The sequence below is a fragment of the Homo sapiens genome, chromosome 2, assembly GCF_000001405.40.
Source record: "Homo sapiens chromosome 2, GRCh38.p14 Primary Assembly".
Lineage (NCBI taxonomy): Eukaryota > Metazoa > Chordata > Mammalia > Primates > Hominidae > Homo > Homo sapiens.
Window position 1 is genome coordinate 19,053,877 of NC_000002.12, and position 21,581 is coordinate 19,075,457.

General features: G+C 38.9%; 1 long non-coding RNA gene across 1 annotated transcript in view, besides 2 other annotated features; it reads left to right on the top strand.

Moving 5' to 3' along the window:
- The window catches only part of LOC105373456 (uncharacterized), a 529,181-nt gene that overhangs the window by 493,701 nt on the left and 13,899 nt on the right, over positions 1 to 21,581 (top strand). The window lies entirely within an intron of this gene.
- Positions 4,998 to 5,499: an enhancer, noted in NCBI's record as "NANOG-H3K27ac hESC enhancer chr2:19258635-19259136 (GRCh37/hg19 assembly coordinates)". NCBI's record gives its function as "activates a minimal SCP1, AML or CMV promoter by ChIP-STARR-seq in naive H9 embryonic stem cells {active_cell/tissue: H9 hESC(naive)}" and the evidence as "EXISTENCE:reporter gene assay evidence [ECO:0000049][PMID:30033119]".
- Positions 5,500 to 5,999: an enhancer, noted in NCBI's record as "NANOG-H3K27ac hESC enhancer chr2:19259137-19259636 (GRCh37/hg19 assembly coordinates)". NCBI's record gives its function as "activates a minimal SCP1, AML or CMV promoter by ChIP-STARR-seq in naive H9 embryonic stem cells {active_cell/tissue: H9 hESC(naive)}" and the evidence as "EXISTENCE:reporter gene assay evidence [ECO:0000049][PMID:30033119]".

Here is a 21,581-nt window from a genome sequence, read left to right on the forward strand (position 1 = left end):
GTTTACATTCTCACCAATAGTGTAAAAGTGTTCCCTTTTCATCACATACATGCCAACATCTATTTTTTTAAATTTTTTTATTATAGCCATTCTTGCAGAAGTGAGATGGTATTGCATTGTAGGTTTTGATTTGTATTTCCCTGATAATTAGTGATGTTGAGCATTTTTCCATATGCTTGTGGCCATTTGTATATCTTCTTTTCGGAATTGTCTATTCATGTCCTTAGCCCACTTTTTGATGGGATTTTTTTTTTTTTCTTGCTGATTTGTTTGAGTTCTTTGTAGATTTTGGATATTAGTTCCTTCTCAGATGTATAGGTTGTGAAGATTTTCTCCCACTCTGTGGGTTGTCTTTTAACTCTGCTGATTATCTCTTTTGCTATGCAGAAGCTTTTTAGTGAAGTCCCATCTATTTGTCCTTCTTTTTGTTATATTTGCTTCTGGGTTCTTGGTCGTGAAGTCTTTGCCTAAGCCAATGTCTAGAAGGGATTTTCCAATGTTATCTTCTAGAATCTTTATGGTTTCAGGTCTTAGATTTAAGTCTTTGATCCATCTTGAGTTTATTTTTGTAGAAAGTGAGAGACAAGGATCCAGTTCCATTCTTCTACATGTGGCTTGCCAACTATCCCAGCACTATTTTTTGAATAGGGTGTCCTTTCCCCACTTTATGTTTGTGTTTGCTTTGTGGAAGATCAGTTGGCTGTATTTGGCTTTATTTCTGGGTTCTTTATGCCATTCCCTTGGTCTATGTGCCTATTTTTAGACCAGTACCATGCTGTTTTGGTGACATGGCCTTATAATATAGTTTGAAGGCAGGTAATATTGATGCCTCCAGATTTGTTCTTTTTGCCTAGTCTTGCTTTGGCTATGTGCGCATTTTTTGGTTCTATATGAATTTTAGGATTTTTTTTTTTAGTTCTGTGAAGAATGATGGTGCTATTTTGATGGGAGTTGCATTGAATTTATAGATTGCTTTTGGCAATATCATCATTTTCACAGTATTGATTCTACCCATCCATGAGCATGGATGTGTTTTTATTTGTGTCATCTGTGATTCCTTTCAGCAATATTTTATAGTTTTCCTTATAGAGCTCTTTTACCTCCTTGGTTAGGTATACTCCTAAGTATTTTATTTTTTTGCAGCTATTGTGAAAGTGGCTGAGTTCTTGATTTGATTCTCAGCTTGGTCATTGTTGTTGCATAGCAGAGCTATTGATTTGTGTACATTAATTTTGTATCCCGAAACTTTGCTGAATTCATTTACCAGTTCTAGGAGCTTTTTGGATGAGTCTTTAGGGTTTTCTAGGTAAACAATTATATCATCAGCAAACAGTGACAGTTTAATTTCCTCTTTCTCGATTTAGATGCCCTTTATTTCTTTCTCTTGTCTCATTGCTCTGGCTAGAACTTTCAGTACTATGTTGAATAGAAATGGTGAAAGTGGGTATCCTTGTCTTGTTCCAGTTCTCAGAGAGAATGCTTTCAACTTTTGCCCGTTCAGTACAATATTTACTGTGGGTTTGTGGTAGATGGCTTTTATTACCTTAAGGCATGTCCCCTCTATGCTAATTTTGCTGAGGGTTTTAATCATAAAGGAATGCTAGATTTGTCAAATGCTTTTTCTGTGTCTACTGAGATGATCATGTGATTTTTGTTTTTAATTCTGTTTATGTGCTGTATCACATTTATTGACTTACACATGTTAAACCATCCCTGCAGCCATGGTATGAAACACATTTGATCACGGCGGATTAACTTTTTGATATACTGTTGGATTTGGTTAGCTAGTATTTTGTTGAGGATTTTTGCATCAATTTTAATCAGGGATACTGGTCTGTAGTTTTCTTTTTTTGTTATGTCCTTCCCTGGTTTTGGTATTAGGGTGATACTGGCTTCACAGAATGATTTAGGGAGGATTCCCTCTTTCTCTATATTTTGGAACAGCTCAATAGGATTGGTAACAATTCTTCTTTGAATGTCTGATAGAATTCAGCTGTGGATCCATCTAATGCTGAACTTTTTTTGTTGGTAATTTTTTTTATTACCATTTTAATCTCACTGCATGTTATTGGCCTGTTCAGAGATTTTATATCTTCCTGGTTTAATCTAGGAAGGGTGTATATTTTCAGGAATTTATCTATCTTCTCTAAGTTTTCTAGTTTATGCACCTAATGGTGTTCATAGTAGCCTTGAATAATCTTTTCTATTTCTGTGTTACCAGTAGCAATATCTACCGTTTTGTTTCTAATTGAGCTTATTTGAATCTTCTCTCTTCTTTTCTTGGTTAATCTCACTAACGGCCTATCAATTTTGTTTGTCTTTTCAAAGAACCAGCATTTCATTTCATTTATCTTTTCTATTTTTTGATTGTTTGTTTTATTCAATTTCATTTAGTCCTGATCTGATCTTCCTTACTTCTTTTCTTCTTTTGGGTCTAGGTTTGGATTGTTCTTGTTCTCCAGTTCTGTGAGGTGTGACCTCAGATTGTTTATTTGTACTCTTTCAGACTTTTTGATGTAGGCATTTAATGTTACAAACTTTTCTCTTAGCACCGATTTTGCTATATTCCAGAGGTTTTGATAGGTTGTATCACTATTATAGTCAAGTACAAAGAATTTTTAAATTTCCATCTTGATTTCATTGTTTACTCAGTGATCATTCAAGAGGAGGTTAATTTCCATGTATGTGCATAGTTTTGAGGGTTACTTTTGGAGTTGATTTCCAATTTTATTCCACCATGGTCTAAGAGAGTACTTGATATAATTTATATTTTCTTAAATTTACTGATACTTGTTTTTTTTCCTATCATATGATCTATCTTAAAGTTGAAACCATTCCCTTGTCTGCATTATAGTGGCCAGAGCAAGATTTCCTAGGCAGCGGAGGGACATAAAATCTTTATTAGTGACAACAGCAGTGGAGTATGGAGAGAAGAAGGACATGTTTGAAGTCAAAGGAATCTGTTACAATGGAAAAACTATCTGTAAAAGAGATAGGGAAGAATTATACCAGAAATAGTTGTATGAAGAAAGAAAATGTTCTTTCTCCAGCAATACCAGTTGAAAGGGAAATCATAAGTTAGCATGGCAGTTTGTAAATGACTTTATTTTATGAAAAACTACTATGAGTTTGAAACATTCTACGTACATATGTGGATGGGAGAGATTATCCCTCTGATTATTATTTAGAAAAAGCATACACTCCTAGAAATATCTTAATTATAAGGTGATCACTCTTAAAATGAAAGTATAGTGTGATATTTAAATAGCAGATACTACTTGGGGTCATGTATATCAATCAATCATAAACTCATATATTTGGCTGGGTGCCGTGGCTCACATCGGTAATCCCAACACTTTGAGAGGCCAAGGCAGGAGGATCACTTGAGCCCAGGAGCTCTAGACCAGCCTGGGCAACATGGTGAAACCCTATCTCTACAAAAAATTAAAAATTTAGCTGAGTGTGGTGGCACACAGCTCACCTTGTCAGGCTGAGGTGGGAGGATTGCTTGATCCCAGGAGGTTGAGGCTGCAGTGAGCCATGATTGTACCACTGCACTCCAGTCTGGGCAACAAATAATCTGGATATCACTGTGAAAGTGTGTATTGACACCTTTGGAGAACATTTTGGTTGTGTGTACCATATCTTTGTCCCAGCAAGTCTACTTCTAGAAACTTTCTGCACTTATAGCCATAATGGCACTACCATTGAAGATGCACACCTTTACCAATGGTATTGACAAGACAGCATATCCATGGTTTCATTCGATTTTTATCTGGTTATTAACACAGTTTTTTATTTACATTTCAGTGTGTTTTGTATGTGTGTTTTCCATTTTCCCTTTATGCCATTTGAGCATATTTTATATTCAGGTAATAGATATGAGAACTTAAAAGTAAAAAATAGCTTCATTTTCAGAGCACCATAAATAAAATTGCTACATATGTGACAAACTGGACAGGATTTACTATAAACAGGGCAGTCAGGGAAGTCTTACAAATAATTTGCCTTTCTGTTAGGAAGACTTCAGCACTCTAAGATCCCATAAACATTCTCTTACATTTTCTTCCACTACCTTAAGCTATTTATTTATTTATTTATTTATTTATTTTTGGTCTTGTTTATTCAATTGTTTTTATCCAAACAAAACATGTACATGAATTTAAAAAGTCAATATCACAAGGTTTATTAAAACAGCAGATCCATGCCCTGTGTTTCCCAACTCATAGCTGTACTGCTCAACTAACTGTTTTGCTAGATAATATTTCTTTTATTTTTGTATTGTTCACATTTAGGTGTTATCTATTGTCTTTCTGTCCTGAGGGATGAAGAATAACCTCTTGCTCCAAAATCTTCCCTCCTCAACAACCTCACATATGTACTCTACTGCCTCTCTCACCTTTTGAAAACTGTTAAAAGATAATTTTTTGTTAAAACAATATTTATTGCATATATCACTAGGATCATATTAACAGGATTTGCAGCTGATTGATTCTCATATTCTCTAAGAGTCCTCCCACTCTGTGCCACTTTTGATGTTCTCACCACATTTTTTTGTTATTATTCTTATTTGCTTAAGTTTCTGTGGACTTGTCTACAAAAAGAAAGGTGTTCTGAAGATACTGTGGCCAACAGGGAACACATGTGCCTTCCATGCTATTACTGTTAAGATTGATTTGGAGATGTTTTGTGTGCTTCAAAGGTTGACAATTTACCCAAATGATCTTTGCTCTACATATTCTCCCAGTTCACCCTAGTTTGGTTTCTAGGCCCATGGGATAAGCCAAAGGATTATTCTAGAACCCAAAAGAATGATAAATGAAAATTCTTTACCTCTGTTATTTTTGACAGAATTTCTCCAGAAACACCAAGAGTCAAAAATTATAATATGAACTTCATCCAGTTGTAATTTCAATTTTCCTTGGTTAGTGGAATTTCAGCTGATCTAAAATATTTATTTTCTAATGTTTAACATGATGAGCATTTGCCACCTTGTAATAAAAATCAAGGCATGAAAAATAAAATAAAAATGCTATAATTTCTATTTTTTCTCATCCAGAACTAAGTTCCTAAAGTGGAATAGTTGCATTAAAAATGTACCAAACCATTTTTATGGAGAGAAACAAAAAGGCAAACTGGCAGAAACTGCTGGCACCCTCCCTCAAAACTCAATTCTGGAAATAAGACCAGAAGGATACGGTTACTGATTGTCACAGACCCAGTCTCAAAAAACAAACTGAAAAACTGTGACAAAATCTTTTCAGAGGCAGAGATGATTGGGAGAGATCTTGGGTTGTGTTGTTTCTCCCTCTCTCACATTGCCCTGGGGGGGAGCAAATTCTGCCTTGCTGTTGTCATGGCATAGGAATGTACCTGAGCCAGGAAAAGCAGGAGAGCTGAAGCTGCCAGTTGGCTGAGGTAGGGATATAACAGCTATGCTAAAGGTGGGCAGCTAGCCCCAACTCATTACTTGCTCCCACCTCTTCTCACCCCACCTTAACTGCCTCCGTAGGAGAGAAGAGATTAGGGCAGAGGTACTGAGAGATTCCCTAGGGAAAAGGGCAGAGAACAATTGAGCCCTGATAGCAACACCAGAGGGTCTCCACCCTGAGGCATGCTCCCCACCCTTTGAATCTCCTTGAACACAAGCAAGGGTCTATTGTCTTAACTCTTCCTCCAGTTAGCTATTAGTAGACATGATATCTGATAGCAGCAAGGAAATGAAAAATGGAATATTTAAGGTATATGAGAATGCCAAACAGAATAAAAGAAATGATGGCACAATCGCTACCAGAGGAAAGCAGTACTAATGAAATAAAAAGATGATAAGAATTGAAAGTAAACACAATAAAATAGTTTTGGCATAATAAACAAGGACACTGAAAACATGAAAAAGAAACCAATGTATTTTGTAGAAGAACCACTTGGATATTTGGGGTATGAAAATATAATTGCTGAAATTAAAATGTCAGTGGGTAAAAGAAATAACAAAACAGAAACTGCTGATCAAAATAGTTTCCCAGAAGGCATAAAGAAGGGATAAAAAAGATCAAGAAGAAAACATAAGAGAAGATAAGTGACATAGATGATCTAAGTAGTTGATATTTATAATAAATGCACCAGAAAATAATCTGAAAAGATTAAAGAAGCTTGTTGAGTTTTAAACATGGTAAGTAACAGTGAAAAAATTAACTAGGTATTTATTCTAAAATTTCAGGTAACCAAAAAGAGAGGTTTTCCAAAAGAAAAAAGTGAATCCTCTCCAAAAAAATAAGAATCATCAGATTTCTCAATAGTGAAGCAGAAGGAAAAAGACAATAAAGCAATATTTTCAAAAAAAAATGACCCTGAAATTACAAATCCAAGTAAGTCAGTATTTAAATCTAAGGGCTAAATAAGAATAATTTTAGTCATCTAAGGTTTTTAGAATGTTTACCACACATAGGATCTCTTTGAAGAAACTCTTGGAGAAAATTACTTCAACAAGAATAGGAATTAGTCCAGGAGAAAACAAGAAGATAAGGAAGAAAAGGTGAACAACTTTTATGAAGATTACTATTAATATTGTCTAAACCAGGAGGGTTGACAAACTTTTTCTGTAAAGGACCAAGTAAGAAATAATCTATAACTTATGGTTTGTATGGTCAATCTAAACTATGCAAATCCACCATTGTAGCATGAAAGCAGTCTTAGACTAAAGTAAATGAATGAGAATGAGCATGCTGTCCATCAATAAACTTGATTTACAAAAACAGGTGATGAACTAGAAATCCCAGTATGCTATGTTATGAATATCGAACAACTAAATCTAAAGTAAACAACTGCCTAATCCAAAATCATGAAGATTGACTCCTATGTTTTTTTTCATTTAAAACTATAAAAACCATTTTTATAGTTTTAGCTCTTGTATTTATGGCTAAGGTCTATTTTGAATTAATTTTTGTATTTATGGCTAAGGTCTATTTTGAATTAATGTTTGTACATGATGTGGGATATTCATCCAACTTCATTATTTTACAGGTAAATATCCAGTTGTTTTAGCACCCTTTGCTGAAAAGACTATTCCTCCCTCATTGAGTTGTCTTGGCACGTAGACAAAAGAAAATTTAAGGCACAAAATTCTTATGTGGTTTTAAAATGAAGGAAAGCATCTCATTCTGATAAAAAGAAAAAGAGATCATGAAGCTATAGTAATCAGAAATATACATGAACCTAATACACTAGCCTCAAAATACAGAACAAGACAATTTATAAAAATATGGAGAGAGAATAAAAAATTGTAGTTGGATATTTTAATGCAACCCTATCAAGATCTGATATATCAACAAGACTTTAAAAAAGCAAAAAAGGGATTTTTACAGTGAAATACAATTTATCTAAGAGTTAACTTTAGAAATGCTACAGTCAACACAAGCAGAATGCACATCATTTTGGAGAATATCATGAACATTTCAAAACAAATCAGCTATTGGCCCACAAAAAAATTATAATCAATAATAAGTAATACAGAATAGTAACAGAAATCAATAATAAAACAGTTGGCTTTCACTAATCATAAACAGATGACTTTCAAATCCCTTGTTTCTATAAGCCACTAACTACAAAACTCCTAGATTAAAGCAGAAACTATAAAGAAAATTATTAAGTGCTAAAAGGTAAATCACAATGACAAAATAATATGCAAAAATTTCTGGGATGTAGCTAAACCAGACTGTAGGGGGAAATTTACAACTGTAAACATATTTATTTATCAGAAATTAGGAGATAAATGGAAACAAATGTATTAAGTACCTAAATTCAAAATTTAGACAAAGAGCAACAGAGTAAATCCAAATAAACAAATTAATAAGATAGCAAAGAAAAGGAGAAAAAAAATAAACAAACCACAATAAATAGCAATGGACATGATTAATCAAACCTAAAGCTACACCTTTGAAAATAATAATCAAACAAGCCTCACCCAAAAGAGAACTAAGAAAATTAAGTAAAAACTCTAAAGGAGATTACAGATGAGTCTTTTATAAATTATGAATGAAGAGTATAGTGAGCTATTCTGGAGTTTCTTGGGTTCATAATCTGGTTATACTATTTACAGTTTCCTCATCTATAAAATAGAAATAACAGTCTCTATTTCTAACACTAGTTTCTTTACAGAGTTGTCATGAGTATTAAATAAATGTATCCATTCAAAGAGCTTAGAACAGTGTGAGGTACATAATAAGTAAGTGCTTTATATAAGTGCTAGATGTTACCATAGCAAAAGAATCTTCAGTGGTGAAAGAAAAATAAAATGAGATTTAGAGCCCAATACCATTTCATAATTAATTGTATTCTCCATACCTTCAGAAAAATATGTGTACCCTCTAACCACCATCAAAGCAAAAACATATTCTACTTTTCTGGTTGTACCCGTATTGTGAAAATTAAAGAGATGATGTTTTGAAAGAATTCTAAGCTGAGACTGACTTCCTGTTCATCAAACCCATTTCCCAGACTGCCTTGCAGTTAGCTGTGGCCATGGACCAGAGTTTTGGCTGGTGATACAGGAAGGAATGATGTAACCTGTTCTAAGCCTGGCTCCTAAAAATCTACACAAGTCTCCACTTTCTCTGTTCTTTCTGGGTAACCTTGGAAAGCATGCATTGATGCAGATCTCCCTTGGTCTAAGTTCCTGGATGACTGTGTGAAACAGCCCCTCCCCAGTGCTTCAAAATGCATATGTATGTATTTGCATATGCATGTATGCACACACACAAACACACACACATGCACGCATATACACACTGAACTTTAAATGAACAAAAAATAAATTTCAGCTTTGTTAGCCACCAAGGTTTCAGGTTTATTTGAAACAATAGATAGCAGTTCCCTAACTAGTACAGTTATTCTAGATAAGAAAGTTGACAGAGAGGTTAATGTACTTGGAAACTTGGAAATGAAAGGGTGGTGGGTGAAGAAGAAAACAGAAGATATAGTAAACTAAGAGGGGGCCATGGATGGACTTATAATAAGTGGGCAACCCATTTTTGCAAACTTGAGATTCAAATATAGTTTAAATAGTTAACCAACGATTGGGAAATCACAGTCTGTTAGTCAATCATTTCATCTGTATGTTATTTCAAAAAGTATTTGCTAATTGCCTGTAAGTTGTTAGGGCATGGGATAGGTACCAGGGATATATCGAGAATTAGGAGGTGGTTTCTTACCTCAGGGTGTTTATGGATTGTTGGGAGAAAGGTGGGTTTCTTTATCATTCTGTCATCAAAGATAGCTGCTTTCTACCTAGACTTTCTGGGAACAAGGAAGGATTAAATGAGGAATTTTAATAATTTCACATTTTATTAAGCCTATTTTCTTTTTGTTTGTTTTGTTTTGTCTTTACCTGATAAACTACTAAGATTTAAAATGAATTGGCCTACATTTTTGCCAATTTTTTACCTCTAACTTCCCAAAAAATTCTAAGATCAGTAAAATTGATTAAAGTTATTAAACAAGTAGGGAGGAAAAGACACATTTAAGAGCCTGGATAAAACAGTGATGGGAAAATCCACACACGATTGACTTACTTAACTGTATTTAATTAGGAAAAATCTCTAGAATTTAGAGGAAACTGGAATTTTCATCTGAGAAGCTCCAGGTTGTTTACAGTTCAACTTGCCTCAGTTTGCCTCACTGAGCCACTGAGCCACTGAGCCATGCTGGTATAAAAGGAGCGAAGGCAAAGAAAAACAAGGACCTCACCTAAGGGAGAGATGGGACAGAAGATCCAGCCACCTGCCTGAGCAAGAGGAGCTGTTTGCTGTGGGACTCTGAGCAAAGAGTAGTGACTTACCAATGACCTTTCCTCTTCACGCTTCCTGGGACTGTCTCCCCTTTTCCATACTGTGGAACTGTCCCTTCCACATAAATCCAAACATGGATCACCATTTTTGCGCCTCCAAAATGGGCCAGAAGACACATCCCTGACCACATCATAACCCAGAAAGCCAGATGCTGATGACACACTTCGCAGCCGAGATCTCATTGCCTTGGTATCTGGGACCACAACTAAGTACTTTCCAACTGTATTGTTACCTCATTATTATTCAAATTTCATCTGTATTGGCACGTTAATTAAGTAAAGATTTGGAAAAGAATTGTGCATATGCTTCAAATCTAGAAAAAGTTTTGATGGCTGTATTCTCAATGGAAAAGTGATGTTTTAGAAAGAGGGATGACATTTTATAACATTAGATGGCATTTTCCTGGGGACAGGGGAACAGGAACATATGAATCCTGCCTTAATCTCACAGCTTTTTCCTGTAATGTCCCCATAAAAACAAGGGACCACAGCAAATGAGAAATTAAAGTCCGCTTCATTATTAGCCTGGCTAATGCCAAATAAACAAATGCAGAACTTTCTGGTAATTTGCCTAGGACACATGGCATACTCTCAGATCACAGTCCAGACCACCAAACTCTAAATTAAATATCTTATCTTAGAATCTTAGCATCCTTGGGCTGCTCACATGGAACAGGAGACAGAAGTAATAAATAAGGAAAGTATTGCATGGAAAAAGAAATAAAATTAACCTGGAGAAATTTCAGAGACAGGGTCTTTTATTAAAACAAGACAACAAACAAATGAAATGTACTCTACCATAAAAAACAGCTCTTCTATAAAAAGTTATCTGTCATCAGGCAGACAGATCTTCTGAACCTAATGTCTAAGTGATAGATAGAGAGGGAGTGTGTGTTCCAGCATAAAACCCTGAGTACAAGAAGAAAAGAAGAGATGGCTAAACTAAGGCCCTGTCACCAATCTAGCCATAAGATTAAAGGAGAAAGTAAATTTTAGCCTATGATGAACTTCCCACTAGTGAATATGGACCACCCCAGCAGCAGAGAATCCAACATAGTTTAGTACCTCAGTTTCTTAGGAAAAAGTGAAGAACAGGGCAAGAGGGTGAAGAAACTGTTTCCCCAACCCCGTACAAGTCAAAGATTGGTTAAAAGAGAAAGAAAGGCTTTTATTTATTTTGAGGTTGTTGTTTTATTGTCGTCATTAATACTAGAGTTGTGAGTCCCTTGCACCTTGGAGGGGAATTTATACGGGAACTCCTGCAACCATCACATGTACATCTTTTTTTAGAGTAAGATATTGCAAGAAGCCCACAGGTCCCAGCCCATACATTGAATGGTTCAAGTTAAAAAAATAATAATAATACTAACCCTTGTTAACCTTTGCCTAGCAATCCTGACCCTCCCAGGGTGTGAGAATCCAAGCAAGAATCACAGTGACAGCTATGCAGGTATCAAAAAGGAGCCTCAGAAAGATTAATTTGACCAAGATCTCTGTATTAGTCTGTTCTCACGCTGCTACGAAGAAATACCCGACACTGGGTAATTTATAAAGGAAAGAGGTTTAATTGACTCACAGTTCTGCAGGGGTGGGGAGGCCTCAGAAAACTTACAATCATGGCAGAAGGTGCCCTTTCACAGGGCAGCAGGAGAGAGAATGAGTGCCGAGCGAAGGGGGATGCCTCTTATAAACCCATCAGATCTCATGAGACCCACTCATTATCGTGAGAACGGCATGATGGAAACTGCCCCCATGATTCAATTATCTGCATCTGGTCCTGCCCTTGGCACGCGGGGATTATTATATTTCAAGGTGAGATTTGGGTGGGGACACAGAGCCAAATCATATCTATCTCATAGCTAATAAATGTGATCTTGGGCTAAGTCCAGAGTCTATGCTACAGTCATTAAAAAAAAAAAAAAAAAATCTGAGATTCTCATACCAGAATTGTACAATTAATTACAACAGGTTTTGGAAATCACTTGATTTTTTTTGTCTCATTAGCCATTGCAATTTGGCCTGCATAAAAATATTCAAAGTAGACACTGAATTACTCTATGTTTTCTGTATACAAACGGAGCCAAGCAAGCATTGTTCACCATGTTCTTTGTAGCATTCTCTAAATAATTTTTCTTTCAATATTATTTTTGATTGACAAACCATGATTGTATACATTTGTGAGGTACAACATGATGTTTTGATTTATGTATACAATATAGAATGATTAAATCAAGCAATTTAACGTATCTATCACTTCACTTACCTGTCACGTTTTATTAAGACATTTAAAATGTACTCTGTGGCCAGGTGCTGTGGCTCACGCTTATAATCCCAGCACCTCGGGAGGCAGTACTGGAAGGATTGTTTGAGCCACTGTAGTTTGAGACCAGCCTGGGCAACATAGTGAGACCCCATCGCTACAAAGAAAAGTAAAAATAATTAGTCGGGTTTGGTGGTGTGCGCCTGTAGTTCCAGCTACTCAGGAGACTGAGGCAGGAGGATTGCTTGAGGATGGTAGGGCAAAGCTGCAGTGAGCCATGATTGTGCCACTGCACTCCAGCCTGGGCGACAGAGCAAAACACTGTCTCAAAAAAAAAAATTACTCTCACATTTATTTTGAAATATAGGAGACCACGGTCTAAAAGTTTTCTTATAATTGTCAAGATCAGGAGCTTCTTCACAGTGAGACATTCTTCTGCCTTCTAAAGAAAACATTCTTTCTTATGAAAATTTATAATCACCTTAATCATATGCTTGATCACCCCAAGTAGCTAGATACCTGAGTTAAAACAACTATTGAGTTGAAACAATTGTAGGGATATGTACTTACATTTTGTATTAAATATATTATGTATTTATTATAACTGATCTCATTAACAGGTTCCAGAAAATGAGGGTTTCCTTAGTTATGCATAAATGTATATAAATGTGCTTTCTAGCTTTTATGTTATTTTACACTCTAAATGTGTGTGTGTGTGTGTGTGTGTGTGTGTGTGTGTGTAAGTGCATACATCTAGATCCATGTTTATAGAAGCACATACTCTATGTGCCACTGGGCACTGGCAAAAACGATTGGTCAACATCTTAAAGTATCCCTTGTGGTTTAGGACTGAACTCTCCTCTATTTCCTCTCCACAAAGGAAAATGATCCTTAATCTATAGGGAAGGGAGGGAGGGCAGAAGCACAATAAGCACTGTTATCCTTGGACCACAATATTTTATGTTAAATGAGCACAAAATCTCACAAGACACTGAGAAAGGCCAGTGGGAGCAGGTCTGCGTAGAATCACAGCTTCACAGTAAAACAGCGGGGAGAACTCTCTTTCTTTCCATCCCCATCAGTACCTTTCTTGTGATACTTGTGATACTTGTGCTACCATGTAATGTTGTCATTTTGTTAATTTAGAAAATGTTATTCATTTTCCCCCTTCCTGTTCCATCCTAGGATACTGTGCCTGTACGTATCCACCTTTCCATTTCCTTTGCAGCACTAACCACATTCCCTAATGTTTTCCCTTTGTTTCCTTGTGCTTTTTCTTCTCCCACTAGAACATAAGTCTCACAAGAACGGAGGTTTGTCTCTCTTGTTCCTTGTTGTCAGCATCTAATATATATTTGCTGAATGACGGAATGAATGTTAAATATGTGGTTGATTATGTGTCTTGCCACGTCTGTTCCACAGAGATCTAAGAGATACTCACTGGTGAACAGGGAGAAGGATTTCTCCTGGGGGTAACAACTTTAGGGCCACCTTAGAACTGAACCAAGGAAGGACATCCATACAGAACCAGAGAGGAGTCTGGCTTTGACTCTGAGGTGTGCCATCAAGACAAGATTGGGGTTTGAATACCTGCATTATTTTGTAAGTTGAACTACTCTTTCCCCTAGACTTTTGGCAAGTATTGTTAAAATCTTAGTCTGCTATCAGTGGAGCTGGGAGAGCCAAAGAAAGGAGCATTCACTTTCTGAGCCTGGAGGGAAGAGGGAATTCCAGGTGGACATGCATGGAGATGACAGTGCCAGCAGAATAACACTCTCAACAGCTGTTATTAAGGAAGGACACTAAGAACATACCAGCGCAGAGAAGGGTCAGAGCAGAGGCAAGGGGATTGTTGAAGAAAAGGTGAAAGTCTGAGAAATGCCTGCAGATATTTTGAGGGGAGAGAGCACTTCCAGCAGATGGCCAGACAGGGTTCATGCTTTAACATGGATATTGAAACAATGCCTTGTTTTGTAGCTATGTTTTATAAGGCTGATGCCTTATGACTTATGAACACATCTGTTTAAAACCCTCTACAGTCTCCTCAGTGTTAATATTGGTGACTAAACTTTTAGGGAAAAAAGTGGATAATCATTCCTTCTCTTTTGAGGCACACACCTTAAAATTCTATGCCATGTATTTCCTCGGATAGCTATATTAAAATAAATATGTGTGTGTATTAAAAATTATATATATATGTATATATTTCTTTTCAGTCAAAAAAGAACTTATTTTGATCCCTGATGAAACACTTATTTGAACTCTACAGTACTCATCCATCTAAAACCCTTTCAGGTTCATCATCACAAAATCAATTTTCCTTTGAATAGTATCAAATAGCCATGTACTGGCCTAACATAGACAGCCATGGTCTGTACAGTCACCTTATGCTGCGCAGAACCATCCAGGGCCCCATGCTTCTTGGCTCCTGGATGCTTATTTCCCATCTGTCTTGAATTCTCTCCCCATCAGCAAGGCTGTTTCAAAGCTGAGTCCACAGTCTGATGCTGTATTAGTTGTCTGGGTCTGAGTGCCACAAACTGGGAAGCTTAAGAGAAATTCACTTTCTTAAACTGCTGGAGGCTATAAATCTGAAATCAAGGTGTCGGCAGTGTTGGTTTCCTCTGAGGGCCATGAGGAAGGGTCTGTTCTGTGCCTCTTTCCTGGCTTCTGGTGGTTGCTGGCAAACTTTGGCGTTCCTTGGTTTGTAGAAGTATCACCATAATTTCTGCCTTCATTTTCACATGGCATTCTCCCTGTGTGGGTGTGTCTCTGTGTCCAGATTTTTCCTTTTCTTAGGACACATTCATACTGGATTAGGGCTCACCCTAATGATCTCATCTTAACTTGATCTCTGCAAAGACCCTGTTTCCAAATGAGGTCACATTTACAGGTTCTGGCGGTTAGAACTATAATCTTTTAAGGAGATTTGGTGCAACTCAAAACAGGTGGGATGAGGGAGGTGCGTACTGAAGATACATCTAACTAACTCTTCCCACCCCCTTCATTATGATTTCCCACGTTAACTTTTCATGCTACTGGTTATGTCTGAAACCTCCTGTTTTCTTTTCAAACCTCATCTCTCCTACTTGAAAACACAGAATTTTAACCCTATTGATAAAACACCCCAGATTATTTTAGTTTGATTTCCTTCTGAAGAAAGAAATCAATCTTCTCTTTCCAAAGAATCTACGATTTGAAATTCTGGGTGATTTTGTCTTTTCCAAAATGTTTGAAAGAAAGGCAGTATTCTGGTGCAGACAAAAGGAAGAGGTAGAAAGTTATTTTGTTTTCCATGCTGCTGTTTTGTTGTTCCTTTTGCCCATTATTCCCATTCTTAAAAACCTACAATCAATTATCATATTCACTTTCTACCACTGTCCATTGTAAATCATTCTCGAAGCACACTAAGTTACTAAGCAATTCTCCAACCAGAGCATGTTTTTTGTTTCCTTTTCACATGCCATTTCCTCTGTCTGGAATAACCATACCTCCCTTGTTCATCTGGAAAACTCCTACCCAACCTCCAAAATCTCAATTAAGTGCCATCTTTCCCAAATTCCTCAGAGATTTGAACTCTCTCCACCTTCACCCTTTTCAATAATTTATACAAGCTTCTATCATCACAGCTTCACCATTTTTTGCTGTGATTGTTTTGACCCTTCTGGGCCCTGGCCAGCATTTAATACAAGTTTGAGAGACACTTACAGAAAAGGAATATGCAAGTCATGGAGGAGCACTTTACAGCTCTTCATTGCCCTTGTGTGCAAAAGAAGTACACGTTCTCTGCATTTGCCACTGATCATACAGTCTTTCTATGAGGGAGTTCAAAGAACAGAGAAAGACATTGCAGTTTCGTAAAATAAACACTGAAGGTTCACAAGAGCCAAATCTTTGGATTGGGTATATATTCAGAGAGGAGTTTGAGGAAAAACTGTTGATTGAGGACACTAGCTAACCTCAGAAGAATCTGGCCTTTTGTTCACGTTCACCAACCTCGAAGCTGCAATTCAAGAGTCAACACCCAAGCAAGACTGCCTTGGATAAGAAATGCAGTTAGAGGCCAGGCACAGTGGCTCACATCTGTAATCCCAGCATTTTGGGAGGCCAAGGTGGTTGGATCACATGAGGTCAGGAGTTCGAGACCAGCTTGGCCAACCCCATCTCTACTAAAAATATAAAAATTAGCCGGATGTGGTGGCACATGCCTGTAGTCCCAGCTACTTGGGAGGCTAAGGCAGGGGAATCCCTTGAACCTGGGAGGCAGAGGTTGTATTGAGCCAAAATTGCACCACTGCACTCCAGCCTGGGTGACAGAGCAAGACTCCATCTCAAAAGAAAAAGAAACAAACAAAAAATGCAATTAGAAAAGCAAAGAACCAGGCTCTTTTATCCATTTGGCTTTGGCCCTTCAATATTTTTTGGTAGTGAAAGCCCAAGCTGATCCATAGTTTGAGTTTTTTTTTTTTTTTTGAGACGGAGTCTCGCTCGCTCTGTTGCCCAGGCTGGAGTGCAGTGGTGCAATCTCGGCTCACTGCAAGCTCCGCCTCCCAGGTTCACGCCATTCTCCTGCCTCAGCCTCCCGAGTAGCTGGGACTACAGGTGCCTGCCACCACGCCTGGCTGATTTTTTGTAATTTTAGTAGAGACGGGGTTTCACCTTGTTAGCCAGGATGGTCTCGATCTCCTGACCTCGTGATCCACCTGCCTCAACCTCTCAAAGTGCTGGGATTACAAACATGAGCCACTGCACCTGGCCCATAGTTTGAGTTCTGAAGGGAAATTTGAGTCAGTGTTACCCATTCACCAAGCAGAGGGTCACCTGGAATGGCTGGATAAGGGCTTTGTACACTCATCATTCCTAGTCTCGGTAGGTGCTGCCTCTTGCCTCAAACATTGACGTCTAAACAATCAGCAACTTCTACCAGTACGACTTTAATAAACTCCTCAACATTCTAAATGTAGCATCTGAAACTCCATAAACAGGAGTGAACTAGTAGCAGTCTGAAGTTGTCATCATTGACAGCTTATGATTTATCTTAACTCTCCCTAGCCATTTGGCCATGACTTTAAGTAAACACTTTCCGTCTTCCTCATGTTCTCGTTACTGCCACCTCCCACTAATAAGAAAGACTGCCAAGAAAAGCATCCAGACAGTTCATTTACCTCCCAAACTTGCCTGAAAGTAGCCGCCCCAGTTTAGACAAGGGGCAAAGCAACTACTGCACATTTTCAACAGATGGAACAATGCTTCCCAAATTATTTACATTAACATTATTTGCTTTCAGGATGTGTGTGTAATGAATTGGTAGTTGAATAAAATATTATGGTGCAGGCTGAGGCACCAGCAGTTCAGGCAGGCCATTTATGGTGATAGATGGTGATAGGCGGTTTTGCTTTCTAAGAAGCTGGGGAGCTTTAGGCAATCTCTCTTTGCTAAGTTCTTGGCACCATTTTGTTCTATCGGGTTCCAGAAGCTTGGTCTAAATGTACAGGGAGGTTTCCTATTTTAACCATGGTGGCCAGAGAACACCAAGCCTGTTCTCTACTCACCCATCAACAAATGGTCAAGAGAGTTGGGTTGCTCTGTTATGCAGATGGCCACAGAGTGATAGGTGTTTCCTGCATTTTCTGTGAGTGTCATGAAACCATGTCTAACAGAAGATGGGAGACTTTCCCTCATTAATCTGATGGAGCCCACATGTGATTCGACCTTCCTGAAATTTTAATGGCCTGTCCACACCAAGCCCAAGGTACTGTTACACACCATGGAATGTGGGTCACTAGGAGGACCATATGCTTAGTTGTATTACTTTTATATCTTCTAAACTAAACCAAGAGTCAAATGCTCACTGAAGATGACTGAGCACAGTATGTGAAAAGAGTAAGGAGAGCCCTGCTATTTCTGCAGGTGCCCATGCACTAAATACACAGCCCTGGGGCTTACAGCAGTTGTATTAGAGTTGGAAATATGCCATGTTGAACACCCTCAATGCCAGGGTCAATCTTGTGGCAGTGGTTCCTGGGTTCTATCTGGGGCCTTACTTTTAATCTATAAGAGTTGTCAGGCTAAAGTGGCAGTTCTCTAGGTGGGATGCCTTAAGTGATCATGCATTTATTAAGTATTCACTGAGTACATTTGGGATCCAAGGTTCTGTGTCTGGTTCCACAAGGGACACTTTGAGTGCCTCTCCGGAAACTCCCTGTGTAACAGATGTAAAATTCCATTCAATATCTAAGAGGTAGACCTCAAGGGAATTTCTCAAGTTTTTTTGGAGTGGTGAATAAAGTGAACATAGGCTCTTGCCTGTTCTTGGTGTTTATCAGAGAACAACAGAGGGTGCACCAGGGGTGGGGCTGTTATTGCTCTGGTAATGAATTTATCATTATTGGATTGGGTGCTAAGCAGACAGATGAGACACCACAGGCTGTGCAAGCCAAGTTGATTAGGGGGCCTACAGAGTAACTTGAGATACAGAAAGCGGTCCCAAGCCCTTTCTCCAGATGTGTCATCAGAGTACTATCTGGTGTTATTTGTTCTTTCTCTTTCTCTGTCTCTTTCTCTTTTCTTTCCCTCTTCCTCCCTATTTTTATCCTTCTTCCTTTCTTCAAGGAGTCTTCACAAGTATCTCATTTTATTCTCTAAACTTCCTGTTAATCCTCAGTGACTCCCGTTCTCTGAGTCCTGAATTCCTCATTTGCAGTTGAGGGGCTTTCTCTTAAGTCATATCCACCTTTTTCAGAGCAGGGGCCCGTGATGGCTTAGCCCAAGTGGGAGGCTGCCTGATTCCATCCCACACTGAATCTGAGCAGCATTCTCAGACACCAGCAAGCACCACCAGGTCGGAAGGAGGAGACCCACGAGGGAGCCGGAAGGACCATATGCCAGGATGTCCCATCTTAGTGTTACTAGTCTGTGTGATTTTGCCAGAGGTGGGGAACAACAGCAGCAACAGTAACAACAAAAACATTTCACCCTACTGCTTTGAGGCATTTTTAAAATACCTTGGATTTTGATGTTATGAAAGGAAGAAACAACATTTCTGTATTTATCAAAGGGGGTCAATACTTGGAGAAAAGAATAAATCGTTGCCATGCAACTCTCTTCTCCCCATCCCAACCTGCCCCAGGCTGATGTCTCAGGTAACCTCGACCACAGTGACCGCCATTCCTTGACATCTTGTCCTAGGTCCTGCACAAACATTCCTAGGAGCAGGAGCTCAGTTTTCCTAGGCAAGTGTTTGACCCAGGTGACTATGCATTTCCTAAGTTTAAAGGCTGATTCTTTTCACTCTCCTAAATCTCCCTCAGCCCTCGGCATGAGACTTTACACAAAAGGGAGATTTTTTTTCAACCTCTTTATAGCCGCTGCTTTTTAACCAATCAAATTTTGTGACAAAGGCAATTATACTCTTATTTCCCAGGGAAAATGTGCCCAGACACATAAGCCAACAACACCCACAGGCATTCACGCAAATATATGCATAGATGCCCAGAATGTCCACATAGACAGTCACAGGGAGGTGCACACAAGGATAGTGGGTTTATACATGGACACATGGACCCAGAAACAGATACCTCCCTGGGCTGTGCACACATCATACCCCACCCTTGCTGACATCACTGCCTTTGCTCAGAGCTCCTGGCTCTGCAGTTTGGGCTCAGTTCCTTCAGGCTGGAACCCAGCAGGACCCAGCCTGGGCTGGCTGGGCTGAGCTGTACTGGACAAGATGGGGCAGGGCAGGGCCAGCCAGGGCAAAGCCACAGATGAGCTCAGGTGTCAGACTCCGCCCAAGTGGGAGCTTCCTGAGTCCAGGATGACTCAGGCCCTGCCATACTCGGGTTACTCCAGCTTAACCGCCCTGAAATGGCCTTGCAGCCCCACTGACCACACCGTTCCTCCCCAGCTTTCCAGTGGCCAGATGTGTGGTATACATTTCACCCTAAGCCAAACACAGGGGCTTGCCCAGCCAAAAGGAACTAGAATCTGTGTGCCACTTCAAGACTCCAGAGAAGGGAGCCCTCAGTGTTTCTGCCTTGGCCAAAGGCTCCTAGGAAGCTGCCTCAAGGTTCTTTCAGGACTGGTTCTGGAGCAGGGACCCAACTGCCCAACTAATTTTTGAATTTTTTGCAGGGGCAAGGTTTCACTATGTGCACTTGTGGGTGCACAAGGGATGATTATGCATGGTAGTAACTCTAGCATCCTTTGATGCCTGGGCAAACAGAATGGCTTCCACTTTTATAAGTCCCAGGAACTCTCAGGTGTCCACATTTGGATCCAGGCAGGTTCTTTATCCATGGTGTGAGTGATTTTCATCGTTTCACATCACAAGCACTTAGAGGCCACTTGCCCTGTGGCTGGCTCGGCACTTGCTCAGACCGGGCCTTCTTCCTGGGAAGTTAAGTTTGGCTTGGGGAGTTTGGCAATCAGAAGAGTAAAGCAGCAAAAATAACAAAGGCCTGAACTTCAAACAGAGGGGGAATCAACTCCTGTGTATACCTCCAACTAGCCGTGTGACCAGAAAGTTACCCTAAGGCTCACTTAGCCCCCATTCTGTTCTCAGCTGTAAAGTGGGAAAATCTATTTAATCTATTTAACACAGCTTCTCTGAGAATTGTATGAGTTCTGTATATGATAACAATAGTGATAATGACAGATAGAATGGTTATTTCTTATTGAATGTTAACAATATAAAGAAATTGGACCAAACTTGGCAACATTTATGACTCTCCTCTGAGGTAACTTTTATTTTTATCCTGTTTAACTGTAGCTGCATTGGAATAATTTGTCAATAAAGTATGGGAAGATGAAGACAGAACTCCATGAGGTATTTAAATTTTACCAGAGGCTCTTGAACAGGAAAATGCTTACAGTTCTCAATGAGTGAATCTCAAATGATGAAATTTTATACAACATGATAGGGAGAAAGGAAGACAATTTTTTTAATGAGACAGTATCACTCTGTCACCCAGGCTGGTATGCAGTGGCACGATCATAGCTCACTGAAACTTCAAATTCCTGGACTCCAGTGATCCTCCTTCTTCAGCCTCCCAAGTAGCTAGGACCACAGGTGCATGCTACCATGCCCAACTAATTTTTGAATTTTTTGCAGGGACAAGCTTTCACTATGTTGTCCAGGCTGGTCTCAAACTCTTGGCCTCAAGCAATCCTCCTGCCTCTCCAGAGCATGTGGTTTGCGGGACTTGCCTCAGATACTTCAGGGGCAATCAGAAACTGGTTGAAGCTGAACAGAGTAACCAATCTCACTGGTGCAAGTGACTGGTTCAGAAATGGATCCATCATCCTGCCTGGAAGTCAAATCCCGGGCTTTATATTGTTGTGAAAATAATCTTATCCTTGTTCTGGACTTAAAGTGGGAGTATGTGTATTCAGAAACTACTGATCTTGTAATCATTAAAAGAGAGTCTGACCAAGAAAGAAGCCAGCTTACAGGGTTTTATGTTAGATGGGGGTGAAAGA